At 42.7% G+C, this 18,938-nt stretch overlaps 2 annotated features.

Moving 5' to 3' along the window:
* Positions 10,398-10,899: an enhancer, noted in NCBI's record as "H3K4me1 hESC enhancer chr18:76056703-76057204 (GRCh37/hg19 assembly coordinates)". NCBI's record gives its function as "activates a minimal SCP1, AML or CMV promoter by ChIP-STARR-seq in primed H9 embryonic stem cells {active_cell/tissue: H9 hESC(primed)}" and the evidence as "EXISTENCE:reporter gene assay evidence [ECO:0000049][PMID:30033119]".
* Positions 10,900-11,399: an enhancer, noted in NCBI's record as "H3K4me1 hESC enhancer chr18:76057205-76057704 (GRCh37/hg19 assembly coordinates)". NCBI's record gives its function as "activates a minimal SCP1, AML or CMV promoter by ChIP-STARR-seq in primed H9 embryonic stem cells {active_cell/tissue: H9 hESC(primed)}" and the evidence as "EXISTENCE:reporter gene assay evidence [ECO:0000049][PMID:30033119]".

Raw genomic sequence — 18,938 nt, forward strand, 5'->3', positions numbered from 1 at the left:
TATACTTGTGCCTATTCCAGAATGTCATATCACTGGAATCATACAGTATCTTTTCATGCTTTCAGATTGGCTTCCTTCACTTACCAGTATGCACAATATGAATTTGTGATACATGTCTGTCTTTTTGTGGCTTAAGAGCTCATTTTTCTTTATCGCGGAATTCTTTTCCATTGTGTGAATGTGTCACTTTTTTATCCATTCACCTATCGAAGGACATCTTGTTTGATCCCGTATTTTTACAATTATGAATGATGCTGCTGTAACCATTTGCATGCAGGATTTTATTTCTGGATATAAAAACTTCAAAATAGTTGAGTAAATATCAATGAGCGCGATGCTGGGTCACATGGAAGATGACAGGTAGCTTCGTAAAACCTGCCAGCCTGTTTTTCGAAGTGGTTGGGCCATTTTATCTTCCCACCAGCAATGAACGAAAGCTCTTGTTGCTCTGAGTCTTCACCAACACTTGCTATTGATCAGTTTGTTTTTTAGTTCAGCTGTTTATATATGTATAGTGGCACATGATTGTTATTTTAATTTGCAATTTCCTAATGTCAAATGACCATTTTGTCATGTGCTTATTTGCCATATGTATATCTTCTTTTAGAGATGTCTATTCCAATCTTTTGCCAATTTTAAAATTGTATTTGTATTCTTATTCCCAAGTTTTAAGATTGTCATATATGCAAGTTCTTTGTCAGATGTGTATTCTGAAAAATTTTCTTCCTATCTGCAGTGTCTATTTTGATTCTCTTAAAAATGTATTTGCTTAAGCAATGGCCGGATGTGGTGGCTTACGCCTGTAATCCCAGCACTTTGGAAGGCCAAGGTGGGCAGATCACCTGAGGTCAGGAGTTCGAGGCCAGCCTGGTCAACATGGCGAAACCCCATGTCTTCTAAAAATATGAAAATTAGATGGGCGTGGTGACGTGTGCCAGTAATCCCAGCTACTTGGGAGGCTGAGGCAGGAAAATCACTTGAACCTGGGAGGTGTAGGTTGCAGTGACCCAAGATTGCACCACTGCACTCCAGCCTGGGTGACAGAGCGAGACTCTGTCTCAAAACAGTAAATAAATAAAAGTATTTGCTTAAGAAGTTTTGATTTTAAAAAATTCCAACATATCTGTAGAGTTAATTCATGTGAAAAGTGTAATTTTTTAATAGATAATGAACCTGATGGTGTAGATATCCAATTTTCCAGCACCATTTGTTGAAAACACTATCCTAACTCCATTGATATGCCTGTTTCTTGGTCAAACATCAATTGTTTTAGTTATGTGGCTCTGTTTCTGAGTTTTAAATTCTATTCCATTGATATATTTGTCTATTCTTCTACAAACACTATGCTGTTTTTATTACTGCAGCTTTATACTAAGTCCTTACTATAACTGGGCAGTTCTCCAACTGTGTTCTTCATCAATATTGTGTGTCTTTTGATTGGTGTATTTAGTCCATTCTCATTAAAGCTCATTACTGATATTAAATATAATTGGATTAATATCTACCGTATCTGTAACTTTTTCTATTTGTATCATTAGTTTGTTCTTTTTCCCCTCATTTTCTGCTTTCTCTGCTAACTGAGCATTTTATGTATTTTTTAAATTTTCTCTCTTAGCTTATCAATTACATTTATTTATTTACAAAGTACTTAACCTAGAGTTTCCAATATACATTTTTAAACCAATCTAAGCCTACCCTCCAGCACTTTGGGAGGCCAAGGTGGGCAGATCACGAGGTCAGGAGTTCGAGACCAGCCTGACCAACACGGTGAAACCCCCGTCTCTACCAAAAATACAAGAAATAGCCAGGTGTGGTGTCACGTGCCTGTAATCCCAGCTACTCAGGAGGGTGAGGCAGGAGAATCGCTTGAACCTGGGAGGTGGAGGTTGCAGTGAGCCAAGATCGTGCCACTGCACTCCAGCCTGAGAGACAGAGCGAGACTCCATCTCAAAAAAAGAAAAAAAATCTATAGATTGAGAGAAAATATTTGCAAGCCATATATCTGATAAGAGATTAATGCAACACAACTGAAAAATGGACAAAAGACTTGACTAGACATTTCTTTTTAAAAAAGACACACAGATAGGCTAAAGATATATGAAAAGATGTTCAACATCACTAATCCTTAGGGAAGTGTGAGTCAAAACCACACGAAGAGATCGTCTCACACTCGTTAGATCGGCTGATGCAGGAAAGATGGACGAGAAGTGTTAATGAGGATATGGAGAAAAGGAAGCCTCGTGTACTGTTGGTGGGAATATAAATTAGCATGTCATTAGGAAAACTGTGTAGAAGTTCCTTCAAAAGTTAGACATAGAACTACCATGTGATCCAGCCATCCCACTTCTGGTTATACATCCAGAGCGTTTGAAATCTGTTTGTAGAAGAGATGTCTGCACGCCCATGTTTACAGAAGCATGAATGCACAATAGCCAAGCCATGAAATTAATCTAAGTGCCCATCAATGGATGAATTGGTAAAGAAAATGCAGTGTATAAATACACAATGGAATACTATTTAGCCTTAAAAAGAAAGTCATTTTGTGATTTGCAACAACATGAATGAACCCAGAGGACATTACGCTAAGTGAAATAAGCTAGGCACAGAAAGACAAGTATTGCATGTCCTCACTCAGATGTGGGATCTCAAATAATTGAGCTCCTAGAAGTAGAAAGTAGAAAGATGGTTGCCAGACACTATGGCCTGAGGGAAAGAGAGATGATTGGGGAAGGGCACAATGTTTTAGTGACTTAGAGAAAGAAATTTCTTGAGATCTCTTGCCCAGATCTCAAGAAATTTGGTGACTATAGATAACAGCATTGTATACATAGAACATCACTTTGTGCTCCATAAATACATGCAATTATGATTTGTCAATTTACAATAAAAATATCTTTTTCTGTGAGATGACAATCTTACTAATAAACTCTTGGGAGGATTTGAAGCTGCCATGCATAGATTCACGGCAGTTTTCTGAGGAAAAAGTAATACTGAGAAACATAATCATCTTGAAGTCCAAAATTACGTTTGTGTCTGGAAAGTCAAGGTAGAAATCTCCTTTTCCTTACATGCTCTATTACCTGGTTGCCTTTCACTTTCGTTAATGCAGCTGAAGGTTTGGGAACATTTTTATATTAAATGTATCACTTATGCAACAGTAAGTTTTCATGCCCTAAAAAAATGCAAAAGTCTTGAAAATAATAAGCACAACAGACAGAAGGTGTGTGAATCAGTTCCTTTTAGTGCAAAAACAAAGAGGCCTCATGTACAACATATCAAGTGTATACATGTGTGTGGTAAGATCTTTCCTTTTGAAGGATAAACAAGTTGCCACAGTGTGTATCTCTGGGAGTTAGAACGGGGCAAGGCTGGGAGTCGCCACACCCACCAGGTCCCATCCTTTTCAGTGGCTCTATTTTTTCCTTGTGTATCATAACACTTGGGGGAAGTCCCTCTCTCAAGCCCAATTTCTTCCATCAGAATTACCTAGGTAGACCTCATTTATAGGAACAAGTATTTACACTTCGCACTTTACTTGCAGTTTGGAAGTTTAGAATTACACATATAGTTCCAGCGTGGCTTTCGCCCAGTACACTGCGTGTGTTATTTTCTCTACCTGTGCCAGTTGCTACAGCACCGGCATGCACAGACGGACGGTGGAGCCGTTGCCCCCTTAGCTAATGTGAGTGTTTCGTAAGGATGACTCTACCTGATTCTGGAAATGAGCATCCAAACAATAATTTTTTACAAGCTTAGTGTTCTGTTCCCTCCTTCCCATACCTCTCCTCTCACCATCACTTCACTCCAAACACATTTGAGTTAAGATTGGCAGCCGACCCACTTCCTGCGGAGCTGACAGGATGGCAGCTGTTGCAGGCCACCCTCACCTGCCTGGGATGGAACACCAGCAGCAGGAGGGAGGCACCGGCCATCACAAGGGGCCTCCCCTACACGGCAAAGCGAGGCAAATCGGCATTGTGACTGTCTGTTCAAAAACCTGTTTCCTCTGCTTTTGGCAGCTCCGTAAGGAACCTCCTCTCAGTCTTGACCCAGGAGAGTGCCAGAATATCGTAGGCACTTAATTAATGTTTGCTGAATGAATGAATGAATGAATGAATGAACGCATAAATTCATCCCCACTGGTTCAACGGTGCAGACCTTCTCTTTGTGATCTGGGGTCCTTTTGAGCACTGGGCTGGGCTGAGTGACTGCTTTCCCCCATCGTGGCCCCTCTGAGGGTTCAGCTCTGATTTCGTCTGTGCCATGATTGGGAGAGTGTCTGACCCATTGCAGGAGGCCAGGAAGCATCACAAGAGTGAATAAAGGAAGGTACACATATACAGAGATGCGTACATGCACCTACACGTGGGCATATGGGAAAAATGAATATTTACATGCCGGCATGCAAACTAATTCACAGGAAAGAGTCTTAGTTTGTATGCCTTCAGCATCTTGGCCTGTACCCCGCTGTCTTCCCACTATTCTGGAGGTTTTGGGAGAAATTTGCTGAGACCAGCTCCGTTGCGGATGTCTGGATCTAGCAGTTTGCTGTCACGTAGTAGGGCTTACAGAGACGTGTTTCTGGAAAGAAGAAAAACAGAGCCTAGGAATTCTTTCCTCAGCATTGGGGTATCTGTCCTCCTCAACCTCTTCCTCCTCCTCCTCCACCTCTTCCTGATCTTCTTCCTCAAACATTTTTCTAGTGGTAAAATATACATAACATAAATTTACCATTTTAACCATTTTTAAGCGTGCATTTTGCTGGCATTCAGTACATTCACATTTTTACGTAACCATCATCACTATGTATCTCCAGAACTCTTCCATCTTCCCAAACCCAAACCCTGTCCTCATTAAACACTCTCTACCCGTTCCCCCTTTGCTCAGTCCCTGGCACCTGCCACTCGCTTTCTCTCTCTATGACTTTGGTTACACTCAGGACGTCACGTTAGGGGAACCATGTGTATGCGCCCTGTGTCGGGCTCACTGCACTCAGCACCATGCTCTCAGGCTCCTCCAGGCCAAGGCAAGTGTCGGAATTCCCTTTCTTTTTAAGGCTGAATGGCATTTCCTTGCATGGATATACTACATTCCTTTGTTTTTCATTCATCAGTTGCTGGACTTTTAGGTTGTTTCTACCTTTTGGCTGTTGTGAACAATTCTACTCTGAACATCAGTGTACAATGATTTGTTCAAGTCCCTACTTCCAATTCCTTTGAGTATATACCCAAAAGTGAAACTGTGGGGCCATATGGCGATTCTACGCTTAACTTGTTGAGGAACCGTGATACAATTTTCCTCACTGGAAACACATTCCCACTAGCAGTGTGCACGTGTTCTCATTTCTCCACATTCTCTCCAACACTAGTTATTTTCTGTTTGTTTTGTTTTATAATGCCCATGCTAATGGGTGTGAGATGGTGTCTCATCATAGTTTTGATTTGCATTTCCCTGATGACAGAGATGGAGCCTGTTTTCATGTTTATCATCCATTTGTGCATCCTCTTGGAGAAAGTCCCTTCATGTCCTTAGTCCTTTTCTAATTGTTTTTTTTGTTTTTTTTTTTTTTTTTTTTTTTTTTTTGCTGGTGAGTTCTATGAGTTCTTTATATATTCTGGATATTAATTTTGTATCAGATATATGATTTGCTAATATTTTTCCCCTTCTGTGCCTTTTTCCTCTCTTGGTAGTGTCTTTTGGTGCACATATTTTTTAATTTCAATGAACTCCAATTTTTTCTTTCTTTGTCTCCGATGCTAGTGTCATATTTAAGAAATTGTTGCCAAACCCAATGTCATGAAGCTTTCCTCTGATGTTTTCTTCTAAGAGTTTTATAGTCTTAGCTCTTACATTCAGTGTTTGATCTGGGCTCCTCTTGACCATAAGGTCACATTTAGTCTCCTAGCATCTTATCAGTGACACTGTGTTTTATAGAATCTGCTTACGTGCTAGATGAATAGCTAATAGAACAAGGTCGGCCCCAAATTTCAGGCTATCCAACTACACTAGCTTGACCACAGCTGCGAATATCTCCCCAGAATAAACTTTACCTTCCTTTGTTGATGCGCAGAGCAAGGAAGGCAGTGCTTGCCATTTTGGACTGTTTTTTTTCTTAGATAATTTTGAAATACAAAACCATTTATTCTTCTGAATCTCTTCAAAACACTGATAACATCAACAGACAGTGTTAAATGGTAAAACTGCTCACCAAGGTGTGTGTGGTGGCTTGCTGCGGTGTTTTGCTCTGATGCTGTTTGAAACATGCAGGGCGTATTAAAGGTCTTCCTGGTGTATTGAGAACAGCTATGGGACAAGGGGGCTATTTACTAGTGACTGGGGATATTGCCATACGTTTGCCCTGCTGGTGCCATTTGTCTAAAATATCCTTGTTCCAATCCCATGCACAGAAGGCTTGAGCTGACTGTTCTTTGGGAAAGAACACTATGTTGCAATAATGCTTAATTTGGGAAAAACTGCATTATGAATCAAGCACTGAGCAGTATGTGGGCCATTTGGTTTTGAGTTGTGAACTTTCCTTCGCAATCCAGCATAATGTTGAAATGTCAGCTAGGACTTAGTTTGGCTATCAACGGAATTTCACTATTTATAACAGAAGATGTGGTATCTGGGCTATAGCTCAGTTCCCTCAAACCTGGGCCAAAATCCAGCTCCAAAAAGATATCACTAGACTAATTTAACAGGATCCTTTTGTGTCTCAATTGAATAAGGGAAAATGTACTAATTTCTGTAGTTATCACGACAACTGTCACTAGTGGTTGATCCGAAGCAGTGGTGGAGGCTGCAGTCCTGTTACACTCTAATCGAAATTCTCATGTTTTGATATATCGTAGTCTCTGTGTTACGTAATTCCATAGCCAAAGCGCTCCATCAGCTACGCTTTGTTTAGAGGAAGAAGCAGGAAATAAAAAATTAGCTTCATAATGGAACAGAAGACACCACGTCTTCCTGTCAGAGAGTGCTGCTTATCAGAATGCTTCGTGTACAATTAAGGCAGTCAATTCAGAAGGCATTCCAAATATCGTTGTTTAAAAGTATAAAGAAATTAACAAAAAATGCATTGAGATGAGAGTGGTTCTGTCTTAGAGTAACGGGGGTTTTCTGCTTCCTTTTGTCTGCAGCTGGCCAGAGCTGTACCCTTGAGTCCTCAAAGCGCAGTCCTCTTTCCAGCAGCAATCAGCCTCACCTGGGAGCCTGTCAGAAATGCAGACTCCCAGGCCAGCCCCCAGATCCGCGTAATCACCATTTGCATCTCCACAGACCCTCAGATGGTCTCTGTGCCCAGTACGGTCTGAGAGGCGCTGCCCTAAGTTCCTGGTGAAATTGGAGCCAGCACTGATAATGTCTGTGGCTCCCTCTGTGTCATCAGGAGCCCGTGCATCTGTGAATCCTCCTCGCTCAGAAATATTGACGATCTTGTGCGTGCTGCCAGGGAAGAGGTGGGGCGCGCAGCAGCAGAGGAAAGCCTGGGTTGGAGGAGGACACTCGACCTCACTTTCCTTTTTCAGAATCCTGGCAAGCAGGCGGGATGCGTCCTCACTCCGGTGCCAGGACTATGAATTTACAGGCAGGGGGCAAAAAAAGCGAACATTTTGATGACCCTCCCCGGTTTGCTGCTGGGCTGAGGGCGGTTGTTTCCTGCAACTTCCCTGATTAGCATGCATCAGGCGAGTCAGGGACCTGAGTGAAAACCTGCTCTCCAACGCCGCTGTCAACGTCCTGCCCTTCGATAAATGATCCAGAGCTGCTGCTCGGCGTGGGGATGGGAATGTGTTTAGGCACTAAAACCACTGCTTGCATGACATCATTCCATATCAGATTACACTGTAATGTCAGGAATGTAATCATTAGCATTTAAACATGCATAAAATTTAATTAACCTACTTACCAGTTTGCTTAGAACTTTTGAAGGGCTACCTAGAGTCCTCTCTAAGCGTTTTATTACAGGGTTTTGGAAAGCTCACAAAAGAGAGAAGTTCACTGGGATTTTTCTCCCTAAAGCTGATGGGCCGTGACAGATGAGCAGATGACCCGAGTTAATTATTATTGAATTCGTTATTACTGCTTTGTTGTCACCCAGCTCAGCCAGGGTAAAATGATGACAGTAGGTATCTCATTAAAACAGCTGTTTCAATTATGTAGCGGCAAATATTTAAAAAGCGAGCTTCCAAGTTTAAAGCCGTTAACAAAGTTTGTTTGTGCTGGTTGTGCCAAGATGATCTGACGGAAAAGGAGGGGGAGGAGGAACGATGGGAGACGTTGATCAGCGCCATGGCTCCAGAGGAGAGGCGCCCCCACACCAGCCCAAGCCCGCCTGGTCTGGCCAACCTCAGCGGGTGGCGGAGGGCAGGTAACAGGGAGGAAAGGGCTTGGGTTTTCCCCACCATATCCCAATTTCAGGAGTCCATGTTAAATCTAGTTATGTTTAAATTGTAATGGAAAAGAGCTGTTTACATGGATTTCTTTCCACCTACAAAACGGGATCTCAGCCAGTGTGCTTTATTATGATCACCTCGCCTAGCTGAGACCCTTATGTAGGTATTCAAAGAAATAAAGAAAAACTTCTCCCAGGTCTCCATTCAGGAAGAGTGTCCTCACTGTCTGGTACTCGGAGTGACTTTGTGTAGATGTTGGCTGTCTTTTATTAACACATATCTACCATGAGAGCATTCGATTACAGATCAAGCCCTGATAATTTATCAGGGAATCTGATTTTTTTCTACCGTCAATATGTTGCTGACTTACAATTGATGAAATTCAGCAAAACTGTCAGAAGTGGAAGTTTCCTGTTCTCTCACTGGAATTTGTCTCTCGGTTTTATCATAAATGGCACATTCTCTCAATTCTGTGTTCAATGTTTTCCAGAGAGGGGATTCAGCTCTAGGTTCTCTCCTGGACTTATGATGTGTGTCCTTTCCCCTTGATGACCATATGACTCTGAGGCTGGAGTCCTCAAACATGACCCTAATAAGTCCTGGGTCACGGATCACCACACCAGCCAATTAGTTTCAGGCTGGGAAAATGTGGGTTCACCAGCCATCAGGAGGAGGGCTTCATCCCACTCTAGTCACTAAGTGAAGGCACACTGGGGTTCATGAAAGAGCTGAAGCAGGGTTGCACAATCATTCGGCCACTCCTGGGAGGACCCGGCAGGCGCAGACACCGGGGCTGAACTTCACTCCCTGTGCAAAGCGCAGCACATTTGAGATGAAGAGATCTGGGTCAGCGACCCTGGTGGCTGAGGAGGCATGGAGAGCTCTGAAGAAATAAACATCTGGGAATTAGGGTGCAATTGGCGTTTGGAATTTGCCTGAGAATAAACTGTCCAACTTCTGTCCATCCAGGATAATTAGGTAGAACATTTGCTTCAGCTTTGCTTGGGTTTGTTCACAGTTCCTAAGAATGTTGCTTAATAACATTGCCTAGCAGTGTGAGAGTAGTTGCTGATTTAAAATATGAAAAAAAATCAATCAACTAATATTCTCCTATAACATGTCAATCAACCCTTGTGACCAATGCAAAAATAAAACTGAGGCCCCATCAGGAAGGCACCATGGCTGGAGGGGGCAAATGCTTTTTGTGTTCATGAAAGAAGAAAATGTTATCTGGACTCTCTAATTAACGGTGAAAAAAGACATTTGTGTAGTTCCTAAAATTAAAATTCCAACAGAGAACTTTAAATCAGAATAGTGAACATTTTGAAATTTACTTTTTTCTAGAGTTTCACATACATAAGGTGTGTCTAGGTTGACAGTGTAATATTTGGAACACTTTAGAGAAAGGCTCTTCCCATCTTCCCCGTCGCCAGTGTGGTAAGGATTTTTGTGTGTCTTACCGTCATCATACGGGCAGCTCGAAGGGAGGGAAGGGCCCGGAGGGGAGGGCTCTGTGGAGGACCCGACAAACGGCTTTGTGCTGCAGAACTGGTGATTCCCAGAAAGGAAAGGCTGCCAATCCCAGTGTGAGCTGGGGGCACGGGGAGGCCTTTGAGGCTTCACAGTGAAGGGACATATCTGTGCAGGAAGGAAAAGGGAGCGTGTTGAACTCCCTTTCCTTATGATCTTCCTGACCACAGGAAGCCCCAGGAGAAAACTTGGCAGAGGCCTGTGTGGTTCTCTGCCTCTGGCAACGAGCGTCCTCTGAAAAAGAGTCCAGTGCACAAAACACGAGCCGACCTCCTGCAAACAGAAGGGAAAATCGTACGGGGGCCTTGTTTGGAATCTAATTTTCCCCAAAATATTTTAATTGTTAGTAATAGTCCCTTACATGTACCAGTTTAAGAATTATAATGGCACAAGAAGCAGAAAGATGGCAGCAAGGGCTGTATCTAATGCACTATTCTCAATGGGATTTATATTATAAATACATCTTAGAAATGTAGATATATGTCCCTGAGAGAAAAGTTTTAAAACCATCTAACTTTTTAAGCATTAGTAACTTAATGTACTAAACAGTTTTAAAACCATCTAACTTTTTAAGCATTAGTACTATTCATTCCAGGAATTTTGAGTTACCAGGACTTCTATAATCATTGCATTAATATTATTAATCACTACAGTTCTTCTTGCAGTACCTGGAAAAGTACTTATTTACTGTGTTATTGTGTGTTGGAGACTCATTGTGTATCTTATTATCTCCATCCCACACAACAGCTTTGCAAAGAGGCATCACTTGTCCTCAATAGAGGAATGAGGCCGGGGGAATGGGGTCAGTGGCCCCAGCTTCATTTCCACAGCCCTAGGGCAGCCGCAGCCGTCTAGGGCCCCCATCATGTTCAGCCTGTGGTGGGAAGGCACTACCGGATAGGCAGGGGTCCAGGGCGCCTCTCCAGGAGAGCTCCTCAGGGACCACGTGGTCTGTGCACACCTTTGAGGTGCTGGCCTGGGAAGCAGCTGCACCTGCTAAACCCACCCAGATGAGTCACGTGACCCTAGGATCATGTCCAGAGTCACCAGCAGCTGTAAGTCAGCCCCTGCCCTGCAGAAGCCGTCCACTGATGTGTGTCTCCTGCACCTCCAGCCTCGTTTCCAGCGGCAAGGGTACTTGGAAAACTGAGCAGATGCTTCTCCCTGTCGGGGTGCCCCTCCTGGGTTCATGGCTCTGCCTCCCCCATCCCCAATTCCCACCTGGCCACACAGAACCACCACCACTGCCTCTTCCCTCATCCCTTCCTGAGAGGTTTGCGATTCCATGGATGCCACTGTTTTCTTCATTCGGCTTTGGCACCCAAAGAAAGGGAGCAGGTCAGGGAAGGAGGAAGAACAGCATGGGAACAGGCAGAGAGAAGCCAGAGCTGGCCTTCCCTTCGAGGACCTCCCTACAATATCTCATCCCTTTCTAGTCTTTGTCCTCAGATCCCCCTTGAATTGAATGAACTTGATTTGTGACAAAGTGTGACTACAGATGGAATGACTTTGGATGGAAGAAGGTGCACATTTTTAAGTATTTTGGGAGTCTATCAGAAGCAAAGCGTAGGTGAAAAGATGGAGAGAGAAAAATTGGAAAGATTTGTGATAGAGCCACAATACAGCTGGGGTGCCTTTAGTACACGGCTGAACGGGCGGCAGGTTCAGCTGGAGGCACACTTCATTTTTTCAGATCAAGGGATTGTTGGCATGGAATTTAATTTTATTGAGAAATACAAGATTTCCAGGAGGACTTTAGGATTCTGTCATTGCCGTGGCATGTTGTCAGATGCAGTTGGATGGTAAGAATTTATGAAGTCAGCTTCATCCCTTATATTGTAAAACAGTGAAAATAAGCAACACAGATTGGAGAAAAATTAACATTGACTTCTCTCTGGATTTACCTACGCCGTTAACATTGCAAACCAATAAACCACAGGGGAAATTCCAGGGTGTGAGATCAGGTGAATTCCAGAAGCTTCCAGAATGTCATCTGCACCCACGTGAGGTGGAGTTGACAAGTTCTGTGCATCTCTAATTATCACCGTCACCATCCCCATTCACTTCCATCTCATCCTCTGCTTAAGGAAGAGCAGCATGTTTTCGTCTTCATGTTCCCCTCCTCGTAGGTCCCCTCTCCCTCAGTGTGCTTTGGTCGCAGAGAAGAATATTACAAAATAGCATTGTGAAGGGACATATGTCCAAAGATGTCAAGAACTAAACACTTAATGGGGAAACTACTGTACAGTAAGCATCAGTCAGGAATTAGGAGAGTAACTGTCTTTTCAAAGCTGGTGATGCTAATTGGAAAGTTGCAATAGGCTGTACCCTAAATCAACATTCAACAAAGATCTCATCAGTTAGGGGTTTGCAGATGGATAAAGGGCGTGATCCACGGACTGTTCACGGTGCAAAATTCTTGCGCAAAGATGGGAGCCTGAGGTCTGGAAAGCTCAAGGAGCAGCACCAGGCCACACAGCTGACATGCTCCCAAGAATGACCGTCCGCCTCCAAATCATAGCTTCTCCATTTTGACTAAAGTATTTTTATATTTCACTATGATTCATGGTAAAAAGTCTTTGCAAATTTAAGTAAACTCATTTTTTAAAGATCGAATTCCAAAGCACGAAGATGTACCAGAAGCAAGACGTACCAGAAACAAAACCCTTTTACCTTTTGGTAAACAGATAAGGCCAGTATCTCCTGAGATAAGCAGAGATGGTCGATCCTCACCAACAGATCAATCACCATCCCACATGGAGATGCACCTGAGAGTTTCCACTTTCTCAAGGCCAGCGAAGTGGGATACCTCAGTTCCCGGAAACCTGGCCCTTCATCATGCCAGGAAGCTGACAGTTCCACTGAAGAATGAAAATGGCAAAATGGTAAACTGGGATCAGATTACCGTGTAAGAGCTCATTCCCTCTGCAAACCTGGAGATTTCCCATTATTCGTGAACTGGAACCTGGGAAACTCTTGACATTTGGTGGGATTTTTTTTTTACCTTAATTCTGGAAAGTATTTCATAGCTAAAAATTTGTTCACACCTGTTATTTGTTTTTGTACACATGGAAAACTTAAGTTGTATTATTTCATTTCCCCCACCAGAAATGCAGATTCCCAAGACCAGAAGGGTAAAGGGCTGAGGCCACACAGGCTGTGAGCAGGAGAATTAGAATTTCATTTCTAAGATGATGCTGCTGTAACCTCCCTGGGAAATGTCACCCCATTTAACATAGGTAGTGCAGCATTTGTGTGTATATGTCTGCAGTGAGTAATGCATTACCTGCCCAATTTGACATATTATTTGAGACAGGAAGACCAAACACTCTAACAATATAGAATTATCTATGTTTGGTATCACCATGGTTTTGGGGGAGAATCACTGGCTTCTCTCTCTCTCTCTCTCTCTCTCTCTCTATATATATATATATATATATACCAGTGTGGAAGTTTAGTTACTTTGATTTTTAAGTTTTTCTAATAAAGGAAACAGATAAGAAGCAAACCTAAAGCTTAAGAGGCTGCACTCAAAATGGTGTGGAAGAGAAAAATAACTCATTTCCTAAATGCATATCGTATATAATAAAAAGGTTGTTCAAATATGTATTATGCTGCAACTCAGATTATTTTAATGGGAAAATGTTGGGGTAATAAATCAATGTTTCAATTTCACAGAAAATAGCTTTAATTGCACAGATATCATGTTATTCTAGTTATGTTTATAGGAATCTGTGAAAAATAAAATTGCTTTTCTAATAGTTTGTTAGGTGGTTGTGAATCTTTAGTAAATGGATTTGACAAACGAGGAACTGGTAATCATTTTCTAAATACATGTGTCTCTGTTGGGATTCCCGTTTCAGAACACATTGAGAAATAGGAGGAGCTGGGGAATAAGAAGGCCGTGTCTTCGTTTTGGATCATATCTAATGATTTGTGTTAAGCGAATAGAACTTTCAAGAGTGCTATGCCCGCATTTGCCCATGCATTGCTGTTTATGTTGGCTGTTTACGGGGACAACTTACAAGACACTAGGTCTCTGGAAACCTGCGTTTCGTGGGGCTCTGCAGCTCCCGTGTCTTTTAGGGGAAATGATTTTGGATGGCAGGAAAAGGTCCAACTAGCAGTTTTTCATTCTGAGGACCTATTCTTCTGGAAGCTTGCGGCTAGGCCGCATCCCTGAAAGTACTCTGGACCTTTACCACAGGGGACACACATCCCTGAGGATACTGCCTGAGCTAGAGATCATTGAAATTTAACCCATTCATTTCAATTGTCAAGAAGAAAACTAAAGCATACTGTAACATATCATCTCAAATCAGGTTTCTAATAAGCTACAGTAGTGACTAGGCATTAACATATCTATAGGGTTGTGACAGTTTATATAATTATATCGTGTATTTAATCAAGAATAAGGGAAAAGCTTGGAGATTTTAGGAAGGCAACATTTCACAGTTTTATCCATTTATCATGTGCCTGTTTGCTGAACCTTTTCCATCTACTCTCTATGCTCAAATTACTTACAGTCTCTTTTTGAAGGAGATTTTGTTTAGATTGTATTTGCTCTTTCCCTGTGGGAGATTATCAAGCATTGCTTTATGGGTTGTGGTGGGGTTTTCTTGCCAGTAGAAGTAGGGGTAAACGATGTCATTAGGAAAAATATACTTAATCAAACTACTGGTAGCAAAAGCAATGAACACGTCAGAACGTAATGACCCTGCCTTCTACCTTCTGAGACTATGAGCTCAGGAACCACAGGGTCCTATGGACTCTTCCCCTTCTTAGTACACACATTGTTTTTCTCCTCTCCTGGAGACACACAGTTTAAGAACCCAGGGTGCCCTGTTCACGTGATGGGCTCCAAGCAGCCTGAGATGCCTGTGCTGTTCTCCCCACCTCCTTCCCGCCCTCCCCACCTCCTGCTTAGCCCGTTCTTTAATTATTAGGTTAATGCTGTTCCATTTTTCAAAGGGAAACTGCAGTTTAGTTTTCAAAAATTGCATAAAGCATTCCTACAGCAGAAAAAAGAAAAAGAAAATGAATAACACATTGGACCCTGGAAGAGAAGTTACAGGAAGATTTTTAAAATTAGATATGAACTCAATTCCTTGATGACTTTTTCCTGGAGACAGAGAGATTCTGAGTTTTCAAACGCTGTACAGAGTATCTGTCAGCACCTTAGTTTCTCTCCCTCACCTTCTACCTACTCAGTCATTTTTCACTTGGGATCCTTAGAAAAACGGACTCTGACTTCAGATTTTCTAAACAACAAGAAAAAAAATGATTAGTTATCAAATTTAAAAGACCTAATATAAAGACAATATTAAGATTACTAGAATCCAAATATTGCTAAAATTTTACAGCTATGTTTGCAAAAAGTAGCTGCAGTTTTTTACATTTTAAATCTAAGGTCATTTATGACAACAATGGGCACATTTTCAAGGACACTGGGAGGCCCAGAAGCCCACATTCCTTCTGCCCCCTTGCAAACACTTGCTGCCTGAGAACAGGTGACACAGCAGGCAGAGGAGTTGGGCTCTTGTCTGTAAGGCCTCTGGGACTGTCTTCTCCCTGCTACCTGGGGCATGACTGGGGCTGGGTTCCCATCTCCAAACCTTACCTGTTCTTCCCTCCTTTCGTGTTGCTTGATGGCCATACAGTCACATAGGACGCTCTTGGTTTAATGACAGCTGAATCTTTGCCAAACTACCTGTGTGCCAAATGCCAGGCTGTTATTTTTTTAAGCATGTACCTTTACTATTGAGTCTAATGAGATTGCTTTCTTTACCCCAGTGACCAGAGTTATTAATTGTTTAGACTTTACATCCATGCAATTTTTCCCTATTAGTGTTTCTATTGTCTTCAACACACACACACAAAATGTGTATATCATTTTTATTTAAAATGTGACTGCAGACCTTGATTTCAAATTACATGTTTTATTGAGCACCTACTATTTACCAGCTTCTTTCATATGCTAAAATCTGCAGTGAGCAAGACACTCTTTGCTTTCGAGGATAAAGGAAGGAAACAGGTGAGTACCTTAGCAGTAACCAGTCATGCTGAGACCTATTATTGAGACAAGGGACTAATTTTCATTTTGGTAAAGAGTTAAATCAGTAGGGAGCTGGCGAATTTTCCAGGCATTTTTCAGGAACGTAGAGGGGCCCAGGTACTGGGATGGGGTGTGTGCTGGAGTCAGGGATAAACAAAGGACACTTAGGTTCTCTTGGAAGCCCGTTTCCATAAAAAAGAAAACGAGATTTATATTTCCACGCTGTGCAGCAAGTACTGTAATGTAGATGCTCAGGGCAGTAGGTGCTGTGATGCTCAGGTCTAAGACGCCCCGAAAATGGTATCCCGAGCCTCGGAGGACTCCCCCAAACCGTGCCCCTCAGAGGTGGCCCGTGCTATGGTGAGGAGGCAGGTGCTGAGCTCCCCACCCCACTTGGAGTGATGAGCTACGCTGCTTCTTAGACACCCCTTGGTCCTAGCCTCCTTCTGACCAATGGCAAACATCTGTGAGACCGCAGCTGTGATTAGAGAGGCAGCCTGTGAGACTAACTGGCCCATACAGGGCTCAAACCCAGGGCTTGCTCTATCACCACTGGCTCCAGCCGAGCTAACAAGACACAGAAAACCAGCTGACAGCTGTATTCTACAGGACATGCTCAATGTGGGCTTTTTTTAAATTTTTTTTCCTTCTCTTGCTTTTCTTTTATTTCTGTGCGATTACCTGCTCCTCTGTGGTTTCTTTATTGATGTCCTGGTACTGACTTTTAGGCAATTGGAGGTTTGGGTCGAAGTCTTCTATTGGGATTATAAATATAATATCCATGAAGCTACCTATGAAATACAGCTGGATACATATGCACGTCTAGATAAATATCATGGTCCCAAAGACAAGGACACCCCAAAGGCCGCACTGATTTATGACTGCTCTGCAATTTGAGTGGCACTCGATAGAAATCATAGGCAAGCACAAATGTTGAAGAAAGAAGATAATACATGCAGGTTTGTCATGCATTTTGTAATTACCTTTGTATTCATCAAGGAGTCCTAGGAGCATGAGGGAGGAAGGAGGTGGTGGTGTTTTGGCCCCCGAAGAGTTTAAAACTATGGTGCCTTGCATTACAGGATCCTATTAATAATTAAACTACCTGTCACTTACCAACAACATACATTCCAAATGAAATTTAAGCAAAAGGGAAAAAGAGATCATTTGGGACTGAATTAGTGGGCTTCAGAGAGAAATAAATAATAATCAAACATCTGTGTTCTAAATAGTACGTGCTTTATCAGACAAACAACTGTTACCGTCTCATTGTATAAAATTGCTTGGGGAAAACACGGTAACTGGCAAGCAAAGTCTCCATGAGGAAGCGGGGAGGTGAGAAAAAGTTCATTCATGAGTCAGAAAGTGATTGAAAGTTGCCGTGCTGTTCTATCAGCTTCTTTCTCAGCATCTTTGTTGGCAGACGAGAAGGTGTATTTACTTAAGTGCACAATCCAGTGGACAGTCCCACAGCCCCAGAAGATCTAAGTGGCCCAGTCCTGAGAAGGGCCCGGAATAAAAACACCCTGCCCAGATCCACAATTGTTGAGTTGCCTGGAAGCCAGTCAGTTCTGAAGGTTACAGAATAGAATTTATTTATTTATTTATTTATTTATTTTTTGCAGGGAAAGGAGAGAGAAGAGACACAGAATTAATAAACAAACGAGCAAAGAGGGAGAAGTTAATACTCCTTCTACCCTGCAAAGGTTCAGTGGAGGCCGACGCCATGGCCCAGCAGGCACTGGAGAAGCAGCCACGGTAGACAGTGCTTACTAACTGGGTTTCATATTCATAAAGGGGGAGCACTTTGCGCTCTGTCTTATTGCACAGACATTTAACTCTCCGTCGGTCGGCTGCCTCTGAAATCACCGGAGTAAATAAAGAAATGAGCTATTCTTTTCCTATCTCGGTGGCTCTCTCCTCCCAAACGGCCTGAGTGTGTTTTCTGGTCTGTGCTGGGGAAAGCTCCTGGAAGGAAAAAAAGAAAAACGCTGGTGAATAATTGGAAGCTCCTTGCAAACGCAGGCATGTGCTCTCTGGGAGACAGGGAGGACCCCTCAGGGATGCCCAGCTCCTCATCCCCGCACTTTCTCAGCTGTCCCTGGCCTGCCTGGCTGGGAACGCCGGCCGCAGCATTCAGACACCTTTGGAGCAGGCGACTGTCTGTTTGTCTTCTCCTTAGGTAACCGTGTGAAAATATCCTATTCCAGCTGTAACACTTGTTTTACAAGAGCCCTGGTTTTGTCTGACACAATATGGAACAACATTTGTCATCCGTTATCAGGGGTGATATATTTGTTAGCCTGCAGAGAAACATCTGCTGCGCGCTAATCTCCAGTGTGCAGGCCAATATTCATAGGATACAGCTGCATAAAATCACGGCATTACACGAGGCTGTCCAGCCTGACATGAAGGCTCGCTGGCAGGCAGATAGAAACAGATTTTATTATCTCCCTTTTACATATTTATTTATGTCAAATATTTCTGAGAATCCATACATTAGCTCTCCTTTTATGCATTGTTGTTCAGCGGTGACAAGCCATCGACATCCAAATGAGAAATTTATGTTACGTATTAAATATGGACATCTGAATGATTATCAAATCTATAGAAGCCAAGCCCGGCCAATCACCCCTAAATAATGGATGAGAAGTAGATGTGACTCAATTTGTTCAGTGCGGAACCTTGGCGACCCCGCCTCGTGCTTCATCTCCGCAGCCCTGTCATTATTTGCTTCTATTCATCTCACTTGGCATCACTCAATAAAATCTGCACATGATAAAGAGAATAACCTTGGTCAAGAGTGAGAACAGAGAAAAAAGATCATTTCCTTCAGTCCCAGGTAGGGACCTCCTGGTGTCCGTTTGCCTTGGTGTGCACATCAATACATCAGGATGATAGAAGGTTCCGGAGTTTGTATACAGAACGCAGAGAAGCATTCCGATGAGAACTCAGGACGA

The sequence above is a fragment of the Homo sapiens genome, chromosome 18 (assembly GCF_000001405.40).
Source record: "Homo sapiens chromosome 18, GRCh38.p14 Primary Assembly".
In the NCBI taxonomy this organism is placed as follows: domain Eukaryota; kingdom Metazoa; phylum Chordata; class Mammalia; order Primates; family Hominidae; genus Homo; species Homo sapiens.